The sequence below is a fragment of the Homo sapiens genome, chromosome 20 (genome assembly GCF_000001405.40).
Source record: "Homo sapiens chromosome 20, GRCh38.p14 Primary Assembly".
Lineage (NCBI taxonomy): Eukaryota > Metazoa > Chordata > Mammalia > Primates > Hominidae > Homo > Homo sapiens.
Genome location: NC_000020.11, coordinates 57,173,813 through 57,195,570, shown reverse-complemented (window position 1 = coordinate 57,195,570; position 21,758 = coordinate 57,173,813). Strand labels below are relative to the sequence as shown.

Here is a 21,758-nt window from a genome sequence, read left to right as displayed (position 1 = left end):
CTCCATGCGATTGCTTCACATCCTGTTTGTCCAGAAGCCGGAGAGGGAGAGAAAAGAGAAAGCCTGATGACCCAGTGGCGGGGATCGGTCCTTCCAGGGCTGGGACGGCAAGAATGGGGAGGGCGGAATTGGGTAATTGGGGCCAGGCAGATGTCACAAGTGTTAACTAAGTTCTCACTTGTCACTTGGGCCTTGGTCCACCCAGAGAAATGGCTGGAGTGAATGTGTTTTTCACAATTAATGAGAAACATTCTTGTGCTGTGGGTCTTGGAAGGGTAGCCTGTAGCCCTGGGCCTGGAAAACAAAAAAGCCACAAGGAAACCGAGATGCCACCCCTGTGCGGCGTGGGTGGGCTGCATCCCCTCCTTTACCAAGGGGCCTCACTGTGCTCCCTGCCTGCTCTCCAGGGTCTTTCCGCAGAGTTCGCTGGGTTCCTCGGGCTGGCCATGCCGATTTTGCTCAAGTCGTCTGGGGTTTGCCAGCGGTGCCAGGATGCACGGCTGGGCCCTGTCCTCAGCTCACTCTGAGTCCTATCTCCACCAGGCTCCTTTTAGAAGGCCTTTCCCTCTATGCCTCAGTGAATCCCTCCTACCTTTGGGGTCCCCGTAAGTCACCTACATCTATGCCTGGGCAGTCTCTCTGAATTTTGGGGGATCCTTTTCCCTGCCATCGCCTGGACTCATTGGCAGATGGTGCAGGGGTCGAGCTCACAGGCTCCAGTCGGCTGGGCCAGGGTGTGGACTCCATCTCTGTACTCCCTAGCATTGGGTCCCCGGTAGGTGACTTTGCGCCTGTGACCTTGCTTTCCTCCTTTGTAAATGTGGGGTCACAGTTCTACCTTGGGAGATTCCAGCGAGGAGCGATGCATGGAACGGGCTTAGCACGGTGCTTGGTATACATTGGTGGGTTTTCATTTTTGTTGAGAAGCAACGATGGAATCAACTGTACCCAGAATACTTATACTGGCAAATAATAGAAAATAATGATGTCTTATCTCATGAGGACACTGATGGTTTTCCCTACAAGTCTGGAAGTGAGTGGATCTAGGGTTGGTTAGAGTCAGGGTCAGCAAAGGTTTTCATCTTCAGTAAAGTACCAGAGAGTACATATTTTAGGCTTTGAGCGTCAGGCGTTCGTTTTTGCCTGCTGTTTAGTGTGAGAGTAGCCACAGATCATGCGTTCCTGACTGTGCATCGACTGTGTTCCAATAAAGTTTTATTTGCAAGAACAGGCAGTGGGCTGGATATGGCCTGCAGGCTGTAGTTTGTTGGCCCCTGGGCTAGAGTATCAACAGACTCGAGGCTTTTTCCCTTCCGGCCCCATCATCTTGACAGTGTTGACATTTTGTCCTGAGGCTCTCTCATCATGGTTGGCAATGTGGCTGCCTCCATGTCCACAAGCATGGAAGGAAAATGCAGTAGGCAAGGAGGAAGGATGTTTATCTCATCATGTGCCTGCCTTTTTTGGGGAGAAGACACTTCTGAGAAGCCTGCAGCATCCATCCCCAGCAGGAGCTGCAGGGGATGCTGGAAAGGGTCTAATGTGCAGCGTTCATGGACGGAGGAAGGTCAGGCACGAGGGGGCTGGGCATGGCTGTGGGGTCCGCACCAGCCACTTCTGCCTCACCTCCCTGCAACGATTGGGCCTTCTCCAATCTGCTCTGGACCATCGGAGCAAAGGTCTGGTCAGACAGCTTTCCTGGCCTCTTCAGACAATAGTAGCTGTGATGCTTTGTGAACAGAGGGCGCCTACAGCGTGCAAAGGGCTGGTTTTGGCAATGTAAAGGACTCAATTTCTGCTTTACATCAGAAAATGCCAAGGTAAGTTCACCCCAAAACCTGCACATGATGTCTCTCATTATATGAGTAATCACCAAAGCTGGAAGCCACCAGATGGATGGATAAACAAATTATGCTACTTACATACAGCAAAAAGGAATGAACTATTGAAATGCAGCTACGTGGATGATCTCAAAGGTATTGTGCAGGTTGGAATAAGCCAATGCAAAAGAGTGCAGGAGTCCATTGGTATGAAATATCTAGAAAATGCAGTTATAGTGATGTGAGTGGGTCAGTGTCTTGCCAGAGGCCGGCGGTCGGAGCCATGTGACTACAAAGCGGAGTTTCCCAGCCTTGGCACTACTGGGTAGTTCTCAGTTGGGGGCCGTCCTATGCATCGTAGGATGTTGACAGCTTCCCTGGCCTCCACCCACTCAATGCCAGTAGCAACTGCTCAGTTACGACAACCAAAAATGTCTCAAACATTGCCACATGTCTCTTGGGGAGCAGCATCACCCCAGTTGGGAGCCACTGAGCTAAAAGGCAGCTCAGAGAGTTCTTTGTGGCGTGGAGCTGCTCTGTATCCCGATTGAAGCTGGGTACCGGCGTCTGTACACGCGCTAGTGCTTACAGATGGGCATACCAAAAGGGGTGGATTTTACTGTATGGTAACTTAAAAACTAAGACTTCCAAAAGCAACAAAACACACCACAGAGAGACAAGCACTGAGTCCCAATGAAGAAACCAGCAAAGCCATGACCTCTGGGCCCCTCTACCTGCCTGTCAGGTAGGCCGGGCCCCTTTCCCACCTGGCAGCTGCAGCCTGCAGAGAGCTCAGTTATTATACCGCAGGAAAGCCTTTCTATCCCACCCTTAAGGAGAATCTCTTGGAGATAGAATACAAGATGCCGAGTTAAATTTGAATTTAGACAAACAACAAAGAATCGCTTAGTTCAGCATGTCCCTCGTATTGCAAACATTATATGTTTATCTGAAATTCAAATTCAATCAGGCACCCTGTTTTTGTTTTTTTTTTTCAAAATCTGCTATTCTTGGGCAAATCTGCAGGCTTTAAAAAAAAACTATTAAACCTCTGCTAAAATATATTTTCAAACTTTCTCAAAGATACAGATTTTATGGTTAAAATATGATGCAGGTCCTGCCTTCCTGCCTACATCAATTTGTTCACTCACCTCGCCCCTATGCCTTACAGATGCAGGCTGGCTCCCTAGCCAGTGTGACTTGTCCGGGACATTTAAATACAAATAATCAAAGTAAATAGTTACGCGCACTGACTAAATCTGATATTTTATAACATAAAATGAAAAGGAATTGTTCTCCTGCAAAATAACCTTTCTCAGCCCTTCCTGGGGTATTAGAACAAAATACATGTTACATCTGTACACGAGCACCTACGTTAGTATGTGCTTTATATATATATACACATAAAAAATACATAATATATATTAATATGTCTTCTATATTTTATATATAATATATACTATATATATTATAGTATATATACTATATATACTATAGTATATATGCTATATACTATTATATAATATAATAGTATATAATATGTAATAGTATATATACTATATATAATATATAGTATATATTATATATCTATGTATAACTATATATTATATATAATATAATATATAGTATAATATGTATATATTATATAAATTTATAAATATAAATAAATATATAAATTTAGATATAAATATATATTATATAATATACTATAATATGCTATATTATATATTATATATAATATATATTACATATACAATAATATACAATTATATAATATACTATATTATGTGGTATATACTATATTATATAATATACTATAATAGAAAATATATAATATATAGTATGTATACTATCTATACTATATATACTATATAATATATAGTATATGTATATTTTATATCTATAATATATAAAATATGTATAATATATAAAAACATATATATACTATAATATAAAAATATATAATATATAGTATATTATATATATTATATATTATAGTATATATTATATATATATGTTTTAGGTGGAGTCTCACTCTGTCACCCAGGCTGGAGCGCCGTGACATGATCTCCGGCTCACTGCAACCTCTGTCTCCCGGGTTCAAGCGATTCTTGTGCCTCAGCCTCCCAAGTAGCTGGGATTACAGGCGTGCACCATGACGTCCAGCTAATTTTCTTTGTGTTTTTAGTCTCTACTAACACGGGGTTTTTAGTCTCTACAACACGGGGTTTCTCCATGTTGGCCAGGCTGGTCTCAAACTCCTGACCTCAAGTGATCTGCCTGCCTCGGCCTCCCAAAGTGCTGGGATTATAGGCGTTAGCCACCACACCTGGCCTACATTTCTTTCTTCCTAGGTGTAATCAGGCTAATTTGCATGCTCCTCCTCATTTAGTGGCTCATGGGAGGGAACTTTCCTTCTGTTGGCCCCACCAGAGCCTGCGCCTGTCTTGCCTCTGGAGCACCCCAGAGCACACGGTAGTGCTGGGCTCAGTACCCGAGGCATGAACACGTGTTCAGTAAATGAATCTTCAGGCACTGGTTGATGCTTCATGATGCACCTTCTAAGTTCATTAATCTCTTCTTGATAAAGCACTACATTCTCTCTTGGGTTTTGTAGGTCAGACTCGGCTGCGATGACTCACCTTTACACATCTTCCTTTCTTGGCTTGTTTAGGGAGTGTGTTTGTACAGCCATGGCTCTTGACCAGGGATGGTTTTCCTCCCAGGGGACATGTAGCAATGTCTGGAGACATATTTGGTTGTCATGACATGGAGAGGTGCTACTGGCATTAGTGAGAAGAGGCCAAGGGTACTGCTAAACATCCCACCATGCCCGAGGCAGCCCCGATGCCCACTGCGCTGGAGTGGGCAGGCCCACCATGCTGGCTGTGGCCTGTCTGGTGAACAAGCTTTGGAGCCAGCGTTAAAGCTGGCTTCTGTGCAGGAGCAGTGGGTGCAGGAGACCATCCTTCCCCTAAGTTGTTGAGCTTGTTGGAGGAGGAGGGTAGTATGTGTGAGGATCCCAGGGAGGCCGGCCCTGAGCGTGGTGGGGCCTGGAGGAGGGGCGGGCAGGAGCGGACGCGCTTCTGGACCACCACTCTCTCTCCCAGCCTTGTTGGTTCCCCACACGGCATTCAGAATGGGTCTCCCACCACAGAACCCTGGCCACGTCGCCCCCTGCCCAAATCCCCCACTGGGCTGGGAGACCCCAGGTGACCCAGCCCCATACCCACCTCGGCTTCACCCCCTTGGGCTCCTCACTCACTCTCTCCAGCCTCACCCCCTCGGGCTCCTCACTCACGCTCTCCAGCCTCACCCCCTCGGGCTCCTCACTCACGCTCTCCAGCCTCACCCCCTCGGGCTCCTCACTCACGCTCTCCAGCCTCACCCCCTCTGGTTCCTCGCTCACTGTCTCCAGCCTCACCCCTTCAAGCTCCTCACTCACTCTGGCCTCACCTCCTCTGGTTCCTGGCTCACTCTCTCCAGCCTCACCTCCTCTGGTTCCTCGGTCACTCTCTCCAGCCTCACCCCCTCTGGTTCCTCGCTCACTCTCTCTGGCCTCACCTCCTCTGATTCCTGGCTCACTCTCTCCAGCTTCACCCCCTCCGGTTCCTCGCTCACTATCTCCAGTCTCAACCTCTCTGGTTCCTGGCTCACTTCTCCAGCCTCACTGGCCTCTTCACTGTGCTGACACACACCGTGTATTTCTCATGAACCTGGCATGTGCCATTCCCTCTGCCAGGAACATTTCCTCCCCAAAACCTCCCATGGCTCACTCTGCCCTGTACACTGTGCCCCACTGTCATGTCCCTGCCACCCTGTCCTAGGTTCTTCCTAGTCCTTGCCACCATCAGACACAGCACTGTGCACCCCTGAGCTGATCTCCCTCGCCAGTCAGCTCCCAGGGTGGTCGTGTTCTCATTCACCGATGTGCCCCAGCCCCTGGCACACAGTAGGTGCTCAATAAACAGTTGCTGAATGAATTAATGAAAAAACAAGTTAGTTGTTCAAGCCTGGGACACAGAACCTACGTTAGGAGAGGAGGACGAGGCAAAGGATGCTTCTATCTCAGTGTTTCCAGATGGGAAGCTCCTCTGTGGCCACCAGGGAGAAGGTCAGTGTGTGTTTCATCGACGTGGAAATATGTCTGCAATATATTACGTAAAGGGCAGAGTGATATGAAACAGGATTGACGGTGCAGTCCCAATCATGTGGAATGGCACCCTGTCTCTGCGTCACGCGTGTGCGATGGGGCCAGCCTCACAGGTGTGGGTGAACTTAGAAGGGCCCTGTGCTGGGTTTGCTTCTGCTGCCCCCACCTTGAAATGATGAATCACTTTTGAACAAGAGGCCCCACATTTTCATTTTGCACCGGGCCTTGCAGATTGTATAGCCGGTGCTGGCGCCTGGGGATGGATGGGAGGTCGCTGCCCGCAAATGGGCTCTGAGCAAGATGTTCCAGGGCCTACGTTCTTCTCTGTGATTTCCTCTGTTTGCAGTCATCAGGTATTGTTTTCAGAGCCCCCTGTACCCCAAGAAAAAGTCAGATAACTGAGTTCAGAGTATTTCAGTCCAATTTCTTCCAAATGACTATAGTCAGGCATTTGACATTTCAAGGAATAACAGGGACAAAAAGACCTAGCTGTTGGAAGAAGTTGTCCCCTCCCCACCCCTGGGGTGCTGACCTCCAAGCTCATGTGTAGGTCCCACCCCCTTCTGGGGAGCTTTGACCCTAGTTGAGAACTGACTGTAAACCCAGACGGAAGGGAGGCCTTGGGTGTGTTTGCAGCACGAGAGCTTGTGGTTGTCGTGGCAGAGAATGCAGGCTTTGGTTTTGACAGACCAGGGTTCGAATCTTGGCCTTGCCGTGGACCAGCTCAAAGGCCTTCCTCACTCAGAGTCTTGTTCCTCCTTTGCAAAGTGAGGTTGCAGCATCTGCCCTGGGGCTGTGTTGAGGATGGGGTGGGCCATGAGCTCCCAGTCTGCTGCTGGTGAGGCAGGCATTTATTGGGTAAACAGCCAGACACTGCGGTAGGCATCCTTACTGTTTATTTATACAAACTGTCCCTCTAAGGCACAGTGAGTGGGTCATTCCCACCCCTGTTTTGCTTTTTAGTTTTTTAAAAAATGTGAGATCTAATTTTCCTAACATAAAACTCACCATTTCAAAGAGTGCAATTTGGTGATTTTTTTTTTTTTTTTTTAGTATATTCTCATTGTTGTGCAGCCATCCCATTGTCTGATTCTAGAACGTTTCCGTATCACTCCGAAATATCCCTTAAGAGCCACTCTCTGCTCCCCCAACCCCTAGCTCTAGGCAACCAGTAAGCTACTTTCTGTTTCTATGGATTTACCTGTTCCGGACATTTCATAGAAATAGGATCATTCAATGTGTGGCTTTTGTATCTGGCTTCTTCCATTTCGTGTAACGAGTTGAAGGTTTGTCCGTGTTGTATCATGGATCAGAAAATGACTCCTTTTTATGGCAAACAATATTCCACTATATGGATTCACCATATTTTGTTTATCCATTCATTTGTTAATGGACATCGGGTTGTTTCCACTTTTTGGCCATCATAAATAATGCTGCTGCCAACTCTTGTGTACAAGTTTTTCATGTGAACCCGTGTTTTCAGTTCTCGTGGGTACACGCCTAGGAGTGGAATTGTTGGGTCACGTGAAGACTACATATTAAACTTTTTTTAGGAATTGCCAGTGTATTTTCTGTATCCCTTTGTTGTTGTTGTTGTTGAAGGTGAATAAGTGTCTGCTGTGGTGTTGTTCAGCCTTTAGGTTAAAAATCTGAACCTTTTTCCAAACTTGGTGACAAAGGGGAAGATTCCATACCTGTCCTCAGAGCACCTGTTCCACGTCAGGTTCCAGATGGCTGGCACCATGCTCCCTGTCCCCAAGTCTCTAGGAAAGGGGCAAGAACAACCCAAAATACCAGTTCAGACTAAGAAATCGAAGGGTTTTTCATCTTAGTGGCTGGGGTGAGAATGCGGGCTTCAGGGCTGGCTTGATCCAGTGACTTAGCAATGTCAGGAGAGACCCGGTCTCTGTTCTGCCTTCTACCAGGGTGGCCTCTTTGGAAACATGGTCACCTGTGGTTGCCAGATGGTGGCTGTTTCTGTGGCTCCATCTATCCCTCCTCCCTCAATCGTGTAGAGAGAGAGAGAGAGAGAGAGAGAGAGAGGGCAGGCTTCCTTCTGGACACTAGAGTGGGAGGCTTCTTTTCCAGAAACCTCCAGGATACTTCTCCTTCATTTATTGGCCAAAATGGGTCATGTGCTCATCCCTGAACTAATCACTGTAGCCAGAGGATTAGTTGCCTTTTATTAAACCACAGGCCCCACCTCTAAGGCCAGGGTGGAGGCTATGTAAGGCACAACTGCCTTAATGAAAATCCGGTTGGCTATCACGGAAAGGGGGGACAGATGAGTCTCATGGCATCATCCCCATTTTACAGATGAGGAAATTCAGGCCCCAGCATACAACTTGCCTCTCTCAGCCCACACAGGCTGGTTAGTGGCAGATGCGGGTTTAAACACCCTTGAGACTCACTTCTTGCCCCTCTGTCCTGACATTTCTCAGCTGAGGCTGTGGCTCCCTGGATGTGGCTGTCCTGACAGCTGCCCAAGGCAAGCCAGACACCTTCACTCAGAGGTACAGAGAGACTTTTTGCAGCGCGTGGATTTAAGGTATCTGGAACAGCATCAGCTTTTCAGGCCAGGCATTTTTATTTTGCCCTAAAAGCCTTCTAGTGGGGGAAACACAATTCCTAGGGGCTCAGCTTTAATGGTTTCTTTTATAGAACCATTCAAATTATAGATGGGTGAACTCCGGGAAACCCCGCTCAAGAATGCAGGAAAGCCAAACGTTAAAGGGAGTTAAGGTAAAATAGCGGCGGGTGGGGGAAAATTTGTTCTTTTAAACACTAGTTGTTAAAAAACCAAAGTGAACCCCCTGGTGCTGATCTGGTCCTGGGAGGCTGGGTTTCTTGACTTCTGGCCCGTCTGGGGGACTCCAGGTGAAGTTAATTCCAGATGTGAACAGGCCCATCGCTTTTGCTGGCCTCTGACCCCTCCCATCTAACTTGGGGGCACCGTATCTGCAGAGGCTCAGCCTCCCAACTCCCCGTCATCCTCACCTGGGTTCAGATTCTACTTTGTTGCTTCCAAGCCGGGTATCCCTGGGCGGGTTATTCAGCCTCTCTGAGCTTGTGCTGTCATGAGTAAAACAGGCTTTGTTTCCACTGGATGCTTTATTTTTGGCTTTGAAATACTCATCACCCCCAGACATGGTATTACATATATATTTGCCAATGACCTCATCATTGTCAAAGCCAGTGGATAGATAGTGTGTTCTTAGGTCCATCTGCAGAGCAACGGACACGGAGTTTGCTCCCTCTATTTTCCTCCCCTGTTTTCCGGGACCCCATACCCTGTTGGTGTCCCCATTCTTCCTGCCCAAGCGTCTTCCAGATCCTTCCTTACCGGGTACTCCTGCACAGTCTCCGTTGCATTCCCCTGACCTCTCAGTGGAACACAGAGGCCACCTTCACATTGCTTGTCAGGCTGTACACACTTTCCCCAGGCGAGCTCATCCAGTCTTCTGGCTTTAAATGCCATCTCTACACTGGGGACACCCAAGCTTACATTACTGTCTGGACCACTGCCCTGAGCTAGCATTTATTGAGCACTTAGGGTATGCAAAGCTCTGTCCTGAGCTAGCATTTATTGAGTACTTAGGGTATGCAAAGCTCTGCCCTGAGCTAGCATTTATTGAGCACTTAGGGTATGCAAAGCTCTGCCCTGAGCTAGCATTTATTGAGCACTTAGGGTATGCAAAGCTCTGCCCTGAGCTAGCATTTATTGAGTACTTAGGGTATGCAAAGCTCTGCCCTGAGCTAGCATTTATTGAGTACTTAGGGTATGCAAAGCTCTGCCCTGAGCTAGCATTTATTGAGCACTTAGGGTGTGCAAAGCTGTGTCCTGAGCCCCAGCTGTGCATTAAGTGACAGAGGCAGGGCTTTGAACCTGCCTGGGCCCTACTCCCTCCCTCACTAGCCCAGAGCTCATCTCTTCCAACTGATCAATTGATCAAGCCTAGGCCAGACCTCTGCTGCCCACCTGACACCTTCCTTTTGGTGTCAAGTAGGGATTTCATACAATATCTGCTAAACGAAACTGCATTTTGTCTTCCACCCTCTATTTCCCAGCTTATGCTCCATTGCCTCAGTTTCCCTACCTTGGTAAACAGTCCCTCCCTTCTTCCAGGGGCTTGGGCCAAGAGCATGCCAGTCTCATGAGACTCCCCTTTTTCTCACACCTTTTATAATCCCTTCCCAAATTCAGTCCTAAATCTGCCACCTTCCTGGTTTGGAGGCTGTGTTCTTGTTATTCGAGACATCACCTTTGGGGGAAACTGGATGAAGGGCACTTGGGACCTCCCTGTACATCGTCTTTCAACTTCCTGTGAATCTATAATCATTTCACAACAAAAAGTTAAAACCAAAATAAATTCTAAAGATTTTAAAAATGAACTCTTGAGGATCTGGCCTTTTCTCACCAGCCTCCCTCCCCACTGCCCTGGGTCCAGTCTCACGTCACCTCCCACGTGGACCATTCTGTTGCCTCCACCTGGTCTCCCTGCTTCCAGGTTGACCCCTGCCATCGGCTCTCCAGGGGCAGCCTGAGTGGCCTTATAAACACCACTGAAAGTCCCACCCCAGTGGTTCTTGCTTCTTGTAGAGCGCCTTGGTGTCCTGACCAGGGCCCTGGATGCGAAGTCCCACTCACTGGGTGGCTTGAAACAATAGGGCTTTATTGTCTCACAGTCTGGAGGCGAGAAGTCTAAAGTCAAGGTGCCACAGGGTTGTCCTCTTACAAAGGCTCTAGGGAGGAATCCCTCCTTGCCTCTTCTGGCTTCAGAGGCTCCTGGCAATCTTTGGCATTTCATGGCCTCTGTCTTCCCCAGGCTGTCTGCATCTGTGTCTTTATGTGGCCTTCTTATGGGGACACTAGTCACTGGATTAAGGCTCATCCTAATCCAGGATGAGCTTATTTTAACTGACGACAGCACATCTGCAAAGACCCTGCTTCCAAATGAGGTCACATCCTGAGGCTCTGTGTGGGTGTGAATTTTAGAGGACATCAGCAACAGAGGACACTGGGCTGAGGCAGGTGCTCGTGTTGCCCATAGGACCCGACCTGACTCGTGCCCCTACTGCCCCTCCCAGTTGTCCCTGCTACTTGCCCCTGCCCCTTGAACACACCCTCCTTGCTCCTGCCTCCGGGCATTCACCTCTGCAGTTCCCTCTGCCTGGAATGCACTCTTCCCAAACATCCATTGGGCCCCCTCACTCACTGTTACCCAGATCTCTGCTCAGATGGCCCCTATAGTCATTAGGGTTGTTTGCAATTGTTCCCACCTTCCCTGGCACGGAGCAAGATTGCCCCCCAACTCCCTGAAATTAGGCAGATACCACGACCTGCTTTGGCCAATGGAATGTGAGTGGCACTTATGGGGTTCGCTAGCTTGCCACCTTCCGCACCCCTCAGCCTGGTTCCCCACCCCTTATATTTCCTGCCTGCCTTCCCCACTTGCATGGAAACCCAGAGAACAGGATGTTTTCTTGGCTGCTTTCACAGTTGTGTTCCAAGTTCCTTAAACAGTACCTGGCCTAGAGTGAGTACTCAATAAATACTTACTGGATGGAGGAATAAGGAGTTCATGAATGAACCGGGAGGCATAGCATCTCTGCAGCCCTGTCCCGCTCGTGGCCCTCCTGTAACTACTCTTCTGTGCACTTGGCTGCTTCCTGTCCAGGGCAGAGCATCAACCCCAAGTTGGCGGGCCTGATTGGGCGGCACGGGCCCCAGAACAAGCAGCCCTTCATGGTGGCTTTCTTCAAGGCCACGGAGGTCCACTTCCGCAGCATCCGGTCCACGGGGAGCAAACAGCGCAGCCAGAACCGCTCCAAGACGCCCAAGAACCAGGAAGCCCTGCGGATGGCCAACGTGGCAGGTATGCTTAGGTGGGAGGGATCACAGACCCACCACAGGAACCCAGCAGGGCCCCGGCGGGACCCGGCAGGAGACTGACTCAAAATCCATTCAGGTGCTCACCAGATGGCTCTGGAACAAATATAGCAGGAAGAAAACCCCCAAATCCACCCCTACACAGGACATCTTAATTCTGTAAAAATAAACTAGCTTAGAAATGCAAGTAGCAAAACATTCGTATAACACAACACCAAGCATGTAGATATTTAAATAAACAGAACAATGGCGGCACTTGCAGCTACACAGAGATGAAGGAAAGACCCTGAAACGTGGATGGGAAGACCCCTGGGGGGGCTTACCCCATGGAAGGAGGGGGAGGAAGAAATGGGGAGGTAGAAGAGTTTGCTGTATCTTTATTTCATAAATGAAAAATATTTTAAATTCATGGCAAACTTTAATACTTGATAAATATTATATATATATACACACACACACATTTTTTTTTTTTTGAGATGAAGTCTCACTCTGTCACCCAGGCTGCAGTGCAGTGGTGCGATCTCGGCTTACTGCAACTTCTGCCTCTCAGATTCAAGTGATTCTTCAGCCTCAGCCTCCCGAGTAGCTGGGACTACAGGTGTGCACCACTGTGTCCAGCTAATTTTTGTATTTTTAGTAGAGACGGGGTTTCACCATGTCGGTCAGGCCGGTCTCAAACTCCTGACCTCAAGTGATCCACCTGCCTTGGCCTCCCAAAGTGCTGGGATTACAGGCGTGAGCCACTGCACCCGGCCAGGTGGTAGGTGTTTTAAGAATATATGATGTGCGGTACTTTTCAGTTTGTTTGAAATGTTTATTTACGATAGGTTTTAAAAAAATTAAAGATAATATTTTTATTGCAAGCAAATCAAACATTAACAGTAAATATAAGTAAAGTTAACGCATTGTGCGAAGGAGACTTCCAGGAGGTCGTGCTCTGCAGGTCCTCTAAAGCAGACAGCTTTTAGCCCATCATGTTGTGTGGTTCTTGAGGCTCTGAGGTAGATGGCCTCCCACTTCACAGAGGGGAAAACTGAGGCTCAAAGAGGGTAAGTCGTTTGTCTAAGGGCACAGTGTAGGTAACTGGCAGCCCTGGGATTGGGTCCCTGGGGTCTGGGTTGTCCCTTGCCCCAGGCCCTCTTCCCTGTTGGGCATTGCCGGGGCCATCTACCTGGCCTGGATGAGCTTCGGTGTCCCCAGCAATCCCATTGGGTGCTTTCTGACAATTCACCAGGCATTCGTGGAGCCCCCACAGGAGCCTGGCTTTGTCCCGGGCACTGGGGCTGTGGCTGGGGTGCAATCCCTTTCCCCATAGGCTGATTGGGAAACCGACATTGACAGCCTCTGGTGGCCTGGGGGTGCTGGGATCCCCAGAAGGTGCATTCTGGTTTTGAGCTTTGGAGGTGGGCTGGCCTGGAGCAGACCTGCTGGCACTGTGGGCATCTGTGGACAGCCCTCCCACACCCCTTGCCTGGCTCATGCCCCCTGCACATGCAGTGTCAAGTCCGCCAGAAGATGCATCGGGACTCCTCCCAGACTAAAACCAAAGCTTCGAATAATGAACCTCACAACAAACCATTTTCCAGTGGACTGGAGGGGTGACACCTCCCAGATCCAAGGAGCCCAGTTTGCTCCCCATCCCCAATCCCATCCCGCCGGCCAGGGGAGCTGCTGCCCGGGGGTGCCGTTTCTCTGGCTCTTCAGGAAGCCATTTGCAATGAGCAGGGCAATAGCCTCTCCAAGATGCCAGTGTCTTAATCTCTGGAACCCGTGAATGTGTCACCCTCCAGGGCAAAGGGGAGTTACGACTGCCCTTGGAATCACAGGTGCTAATCAGCTGGCCTTCCAATACGCGGGCTCTGTGTAGCAGGGTGGTCCCATCGGTCCTTATAGGAGAGAGCCTTTTTGAGCTGTGGTTGGAGCCATGTAAGCACAGAGCACAGAGGGGTGGAGATGAGTGGGGCCACCAGCCCTGGGATGTGGGTGGCCTGGAGAAGCTGCACAAGGCAAGGAAGGGATCCTCCCCTAGAGCCCCCAGTTGCATTTACCTGCTAAGACTGGTGTTGGACTTCAGAGCCACAGAGCTATAATCCGCTTGTATTGTTTTGATAATTTGCTTGGTTAATTTGTTAAAGCAGCGATAGGAAAGAATACATCTTTGTTGGCAAAGTGATTTTCTTTTTCTTTTTTCTTTTCTTTTTTTTTTTTTTTAGAGACAGGGTCTCACGCCATTGCCCAGGCTGGCGTGCAGTGGTGTGAGCATGGCTTACTGTAGCCTTGACCTCCTGGGCTCAAGCAATCCTCCTGCCTGAGCCTCCCAGGTAGCTGGGACTATAGATGGATGCCACCACACCTGGCTATTTTTTGTAGAGACAGGGCCTCCCTATATTGCCTAGGCTGGTGTCGAGCTCTTGGGCTCAAGCTATCCTTCCACTTTGGCCTCCCAAAGTACTGAGATTACAGGCATGAGCTACTGCCCCCAGCCTCCTCAGAGTGCTTCCCTCATCCTGCTAAGGAGCTGGGACACAACCATCTGGGGGCCGGCTCAGGAGTTGCAGCCTTCTTGGCTCCAGGTTGATCACAAGGCAGAAAAAGGTCTGAGGTGCAAACCTGCCCTGCCACCATGTGGGAAGCTATTAGCTGCTTATCACCTCCGGGGCCTGCGGTTGGTCCCAGGAAGCACCCAAGGGGAGCAAGGGGCTATTGAGAAAGGTCCTGGCGAGGGGATAGCAGCAGCCCCACCCCCAAATTAACCCTCTAGTGCCAATAGCTTCTTCCTCCTTACCTAGCCTAGCTTGAAATTTATGTTCATTTTACTTTTCAAGGGAGAAGGCAGGTCAGTGGGGTTGGTGGCCTTTTTAAGACAAGGCTTCCTGACCCCTGGCGGGTGTCCTGGGGCCCCCGGATGGACCTCAGTGGGTCTGTGTGGCCCAGAGTGTGTAGGGATTCCGTATATTTTCTTTTCTGACAGTGGATCCATTTTTCCAGGTTTCTCAAAGGGGTCTTTGATCTCCCAAGTCAAAAACCAACCAAATTCCTTCATTTGTATTCGAAGCCTCTTTTATGCTGGACTCTTGAAGGCTAGGATTCAATGTCGAACACCCACACAAAGGCTGCCCTTGGGGGTGTTAATTTAGGACAGGAAGGAGGGGGTTGCCATTCACATCCATACATAGTAACAGACCCAGAGTCAGGGTGGTGCCTAGGGAACGCAGCCCATCCCGAGGGCTGCAGACAACATTTCGTGGCGAGCGAGCTGAGAGCTCTGGGTCCAGTGGGTGCCCACGAGGCCAGGCTGGTCCGGAGAGGATGCTCTGGGCTGTGGGACCTGCAGGGGCAGAGGCCTGTGCTGTGGGGTTTCCTGGCGCCTTTGGGGAGTGGGGAGGAGGCTGTGGGGGCTGAAGCAGGGGAGGGGAGTGAGGGTGGGCGGGTCAGGCATTCTCTTGGGAGTCACGTCTTGAGTTTGAACTTCATGCCAAGCATGTTCAGAAGTCTTTGCAGAGATTCAAGCTGTGGTGTGGGGTGCAGGTGATAAGATCATTCTGGCTGCTCTAAGAAAGGTGAGGAACAGGGTGGGTGCCGAGGGGGTGCTCAGAGGCCGGAGACTCCTTAGAGGATGTGGCAGATCATCCAGGCAGGAAGTGTAGGCAAACTGCATCCCGGCAGAGACTTCCGTGTCTTGGAGCTCCATCGGGTGCACCTGGGTAATGAGGGGGAGAGGAACTAGGCATCGCGGGCTTAGAATTCACTCTGATTTTCCCCACCGCCTCCTCATCAAAGCCCCACCAAGTCTCCATTTACACAGCCCCCAGGACGGGGCTCTCACTGTTTCCCGTGGCAGAAATTCATTGCTGGGAACCTGCCTCCTTCCCGCGGATGGCTCGTGGCCCTGTTTGCAGCTCTTCTAAAACCTGCCTGGAAGTTAAGAAAAAAATAAAATAAAAATACCGAGGCCTGGGCCCCACCCTAGGCTTAGGCCAGAGTCCTTGAGTGTGAGTGTGTACGCCTGTGTGCCTGCCCCTTTGAATCGCTCGTCCCCCCGGTTTTGGGCTGGAGCCCTGCCGTGGAGCCACACAAGTTGAATCTCTCGGCAGCCCTGTGTGTGCTGGGGCGGGGGCACATGCTCCGGCACGCTACCCCACGCGGAGCTCGCTTTCCTGCCCGCCAGCCCCCTCCCCCGGGGCTTCACGTGCTCTTCAGATGGTGCGGTTTGGGGTTGAGAAACTGGGTCCCTGCACTTCCTTCTCCCCACCCACGTTTGGACCCAGCTCCCTGGTAAGCAGCCGCCTTTGCCAGATGACCCGTGGAGGCGGGAGCTGAGCCTAAGCACCAGTCCTGACTTGTCTGCGGCCCAAGCAGGGGGTTGAGGAGGTGGATGAATCCCGGTGCTGGCGTCAGGGCTGTCTCCTGCTCACTTTCTGTTGCTTGGGGGCGGGTGGGGCAGGCTTGGACGGACAGGGGAGCTGGGAGTCCCTCCTTCGTTTCCTTTCCTTGTTTTCCTGCTAATAAGTCCTAAGGATACACAGGAGCTCCGGCCACTTTCTGCTGGGACAGCCGTGATCAAAGAGCCCTGGAAGCACAGAGCAGGGTCTGGAGTCCCTGGTGGCAGGGCCAGTGCCCACGCCTCACTCGTACACCATAACTAGCTTCATGAGCTGTGCTCGGCCTTGGTCTGTTTGGCCTTGGGTTTGAACTAAGTTATGCCAAATGTCGTGGCTTTACTTTAAGACAGGGTTGGGGAAAGTAGCACTCAGGCCACTCCTTGTCCCTTCTGTGCTCATGACAGACATTGCTAATAGATCATGGCCTCTCCTGTGCTCATGACAGACATTGCTAATAGATCATGGGACTTCCTTCTGACGGAGCCTGAACACAGCTTCAGAATCCTCCTTGACTCAGGACACCAAGGAGTCAGCAATGTCCCTGGCTCGAGCTAGCAGCTTCACCTGACACATCCCTGAGCTGAGGGGATGTTCCTTCTCCTCCACCCTGCCTTCTACCCCCCCACAGGGAAGAGGGAGGAGGCTCGTGGAGGGGCATGGCTACCTGTGGCCCTGGGCATTGCCACAGCCATGAAGGCCATCTTAGGTTTCTGCTTGGCATCGTGTGCTCTAGAGGGCAGGCTGTAGAGTCCAGCTGTTTGGGCTCCTCCCAGATGGTTCCTTGACCTTGACCTTCCTGTGTTGAGGACACCCTGGCCCTGGGGAGGTTCCTGCTGCCCCAGAGCTGGTTCTCTCTCTCCCAGCCCTGCTACTCCCCCACGGAGGGTGGGGACCAGGGGCCTCTGGGCTCCCCCTGGCTGCCTCCATCCACTCTGAGCACCCCCTTGCAGCATTGAGCCTTGGGGCTGGTTCCAGCCACGCAGATCTTCCCTCCGCCCACACTGTCTGCTGACCCAGGCCCCAGCTTCCTCATTCCTTGCCAGGCTCAGTGCCTGCCTCTGATCCTCTATCCGATGCTACTCCAGCGGCCTCAGACATGGAGGGCGCCTCGTCCCCACTGCTCAGCATCGTCATGCAGGAATGCCTCGCCCTTGGATGCCTCCCCACCCTCCTATCTCACTTCCTTTTGGTTCTTACCCACATGTCACCTCCTCAGAAGAGCGCCTGCTGGCACCCGCGGCAGCATGCCCGCTCACTCCAGCTTCTCCTGCCTTGTTTTCCTCTGTAGCCCTCATCTCCATGTAAGTCATGTGCACTCACTTATCTATGACCCGCCTCTCGTTCTGGAAAAGCCCCTGAGTGGCAGGGCTTTGCTGTCTTACACCTGGGACTCATCTCATGCCTGCACACCAGGAAGCAGCCCCTAGCAATGGCTGAATGAATGAGTGACTCCACAAGGCATGCAGGCCGCGAGGGCAGGGCACCCAGGGGCAAGCGCTCCTGCCCCAAAGCCTGGAGCCCACCAGCCCCGCCCCAGCCTTCAGCAAGTTCACTTCACCGAAAGTCTCAAGTGTCTCCTCAGGAATCACACATGTGATTCGGTTATAATCAATTAAATGTAATTTCGTTATTGGTGTGCATATCTTTCCACATTGCTTTTCTGAACTGTAGATAAATTTTATATCTGTATAAATAGATATATTCAAAAATGGCATTTTGGGAGGCCAAGGCGGGTGGATTACCTGAGGTCAGGAGTTTGTGACCAGCCTGGCCAACATGGTGAAACCCCGTCTCTACTAAAAATACAAAAATTAGCTGGGCATGGTGATGAGTGCCTATAGTCTCAGCTACTCAGGAGGCTGAGGCAGGAGAATTGCTTGAACCCAGGAGGCAGAGGTTGCAGTGAGCCAAGATTGCACCACTGTACTCCAGCCTGGGCAACAGAGCAAGACTCTGTCTCAAAAAAAAAATTGCTGATGAAAATAAAAGCAGCCTGCTTTTCAGTCCCCAGCAGGGAGCATGGTGCTCCTGTCTCAGCCTGAGCCTTGGAGGCCAGTTCCTGACTCCTGTGCTCTCCATGCTGTTCTCCTCTCTCCTGCCTCCTTCCTCCTCAACCCTCTTCTTTCTCCTTTCTGCTTTCCACTCTTGGCTTGCTGCTTCTAGCCCATTTCATTCCACAATTGTTCTCAGCCATGGGGTAGCTAAGGCACACTGAAGGTTTCCAGGACCAACAGAATGTCCAGTCTGTGTCTGAGGAGGTGTCCTAATTTGCAGTGTGTGGTCCATGGGAGGCTAGCTTACTGCACCACTCCTGTCCCACCCATTTTACAGATGAAGAAAGTAAGGCTTAGGGAAGGGAGTTCGGCGATGTCCTTCTTATCTTACCATTTCTCATTATCCTAGAAGCTATGCAGATAGAATTCTCATGAATCAGAGAAAAGCCAAAAATTGAGTGGTGTTCCACTCTTTGACATATACCCTAATGGCATGTAGTGGGTGTGGAGGAAAGAGCCATGCATTCAAACAGTTAACAGGTGTGTGTGTGTGTGTGTGTGTGTGTGTGTGTGTGTGTGTGAATGGAGAATGTGCGTAGTTTCAAATTTCCCTAACAAGTGGGCTAGAAGAAGAAGAAGAAAATATGAAACTGCCATGAACACTCAAGCCTACCCCAGGAGTTATAGGAGCTCTCTTCATTTTGCAAACCAGGAGTCCAAGATCTAGGAGAGCTGGGGTTTGACTCCAGAGCTAGAGCAGTCCCCAAGACCTGGTCTTGACTCACGAGTTAGACTCCACTCAGAGGCTGACTGTGCTCCAGGGTCTACACCTCTAAGGGCGACACCTGGGCTCAAGCAGACTGCCGTTTTCTATATGGGATGAGCCTTCACAGGGCAGCCAGTTGGGATGGGTTGAGGTTTGGCTGTAGACATCAGAAACCCAAGTCAAATGCGCTTCAACCAGTAGAAAATTCACCAGCCCGCAGAGCTAAGGTTGGGTGGACATTAGGGTTGGTTGATCCAGGAGCTCAACAGTGTCCTCTGAGCCCCAGCTCCTTCTGCCCCACCCCACCATCTTCAGTGCTGCTTCCTCTCAAGGCCACAGCTGTAGTTGGCCAGGGGGGCTTCATTATTTTTTGCTCCTGGGCAGTAGGAGGAAGAGAATGAATGTCTCTCCATGGGTCTTTCTTAGGAATGTGGGAACTTTTTCCAGAAGTCTCTATGTCTTTTAGTTTGTGTTGGGTCACTTGCCCTTCCTGAACCACTTCCTGACTCCTGGACAGGATGTGCACTGATGAGCTTAGCTTTGGGGATCTAATAGTGACTTTACAAAGCCTCTTTGAGAAGGTGACATTGGAACCAAGGCTTGAGCCAGACACAACAAAGATTGCAGGGAGGGGCATTGCAGGTGGAGGAAACGGCACATGCAAGAGCCCTGCGGTGGGAGTGAGCTTGGTGTTTGGTCAATCAGTTGTCAGAGCACACCGGGCCTGTGGGCCACAGGCACAGCCTGGGCCCTGCTCTGAGTATGACAGAGAGCCCCTGGGAAGTTGTAGGTGGAGGAAAGACAGGTCATGACTAGGAAAAAAGCAATCCCTCTGTTGTGGGGTGGAAGGAAGGTTGCAGTGTGTGTGAGAGAGAGACAAGACAGACAGACAGACACTTCTGCAATGTTTACAAGTGCTCAGGCCCTGACCCGAATGCTTCCAAATTTACGTAGTTCTGGAAAACCCCCTGTATCATTTTCACTACTCAAAGAAACCTCGGGAGTGTTTTCTTCTGAAAGGTCATCAGGTTTTGACTCTCTGCTGTCTCATTTCTTCTTGCTGGTGGTGGTGATGGTTGCTTGTCCCAGGCCCTGTCCCGCATCCTCTTGCCCCTGCAGAGGGATGAGTGTGTTGGGGCCTCACGAGTTGAGGTTGTTCATAAGCAGATCTCTTTGAGCAGGGTGCCTGCAGTGGCCTTGTGTGAGGTGGATGGGGTTTGATTCCCTTATGGAATCCAGGCAGATGTCAGCATTTAAACAACACACGTGTATAAAAGAAACCAGTGTCCGCAGAAGGTTCCAGAAAGTATTATGGGATAAGACTACATGAGAGAGGAATGGGGCATTGGCACCTCCCTTAGTAGGGCCTTTGCTGGGGGTAGAAATGAGTTTTAAGGCAGTTAGACCCTCGAACTGGCTTTTGAATCGGGAAATTTACCCCCCAGCCGTCTGTGCTTCATTGCTGTTCACATCACTGCCTAAGATGGAGGGAACTTTGATGTGTGTGTGTTTCTTTCTCCTCACTGGGCTCTGCTTCTTCACTTCCTTGTCAATGCAGAGAACAGCAGCAGCGACCAGAGGCAGGCCTGTAAGAAGCACGAGCTGTATGTCAGCTTCCGAGACCTGGGCTGGCAGGTAAGGGGCTGGCTGGGTCTGTCTTGGGTGTGGGCCCTCTGGCGTGGGCTCCCACGAGGCAGCGGGTCTGTGCTCAGTCTTGTTTCTCATCTCTGCCAGTTAAGACTCCAGTATCAAGTGGCCTCGCTAGGGAAGGGGACTTGGGCTAAGGATACAGGGAGGCCTCATGAAATCCGAGAGCAGAAATGTGGTTGAGACTTGAACTTGAACCAGGAACCCAAACACTTTGGACTCTGAACCCCATTCTCTGCATGCACCTCATTCCCATCCCTTGGCTGGCTGCTTCTCAAGATGATGCCGGGCCGTGTGTTTGAATGTAGATACCTGGGGAGCCATCTCCCCCTCTGCCCTCTGACTTCATTTACCCCATTCCCATTCCCACGGGAGGGACGGATCTGCCCAGCTTGGTTCAGGCACTTGTTCCTGAACCAGTCAACTGTTTCAGGGGTGGGGTCATGTTACTGGCACATGGCTGCCCCCTCTGGAGCCATTTGCATGGAGTGAGGCAAAAGGCAGGGGATGAATCCTAGGAGAGGAGTGAGGGTCATGTGATCCACCTGCCGTGAGCTCTGGTGTGATTCTCATTCAGCAGTCATGCAGCATCTGCAGCGTTCTGGGCCCTGTTCTAGGTACTGGATTGGAGATGCAGCGATGAACACTGCAATGTGTCTGCCCTGTGGGGCTCAAATATCCCTGGAGAGGGTATTGTCATGAGGTCATCAGGGCAACTGGTGGTATTCTACCCTCAGGGAGCTTGTAGTTCAGTGGGAGAGTCCAGAATCTTCCCTGGGGATTATGCCCAGACACACTCAGGGCGTACGTGCACACAGCCAGCTCTGAGCCCTCCTGTGAGCCTGCCCTCAGGACTGATGACCACATCCACCTGCAGCTGGGACAGAACCCAAACTCCAGGGGCCTCTGCTGGAAGATTCCATGTGCTTAAGCATCACTGAGGAGTATATTGATTATTGGGCAACATTTCTGTGCCACCCAGACCCTAGAGGCAAGGATGGCACATGGATCCCTTACTGACCAGTGCACCCGGAGCCAGCATGGGTGATGCCATTATGAGTTATTAGCCTCTCTGGCAGGTGGGCAAACCGAGGCATGGAGGTTTG

General features: G+C 50.6%; 1 protein-coding gene across 1 annotated transcript in view, besides 2 other annotated features; it reads left to right on the top strand.

Moving 5' to 3' along the window:
* The window catches only part of BMP7 (bone morphogenetic protein 7), a 97,889-nt gene that overhangs the window by 71,071 nt on the left and 5,060 nt on the right, over nt 1-21,758 (top strand). Inside the window, exons 4-5 of the mRNA NM_001719.3 lie at nt 11,652-11,849; nt 20,564-20,640. Coding sequence (NP_001710.1) covers nt 11,652-11,849; nt 20,564-20,640 — 275 coding nt within the window. The remainder of the gene's footprint in view (nt 1-11,651; nt 11,850-20,563; nt 20,641-21,758) is intronic.
* Nucleotides 11,298-11,819: an enhancer, noted in NCBI's record as "H3K4me1 hESC enhancer chr20:55758808-55759329 (GRCh37/hg19 assembly coordinates)". NCBI's record gives its function as "activates a minimal SCP1, AML or CMV promoter by ChIP-STARR-seq in primed H9 embryonic stem cells {active_cell/tissue: H9 hESC(primed)}" and the evidence as "EXISTENCE:reporter gene assay evidence [ECO:0000049][PMID:30033119]".
* Nucleotides 11,820-12,342: an enhancer, noted in NCBI's record as "H3K4me1 hESC enhancer chr20:55758285-55758807 (GRCh37/hg19 assembly coordinates)". NCBI's record gives its function as "activates a minimal SCP1, AML or CMV promoter by ChIP-STARR-seq in primed H9 embryonic stem cells {active_cell/tissue: H9 hESC(primed)}" and the evidence as "EXISTENCE:reporter gene assay evidence [ECO:0000049][PMID:30033119]".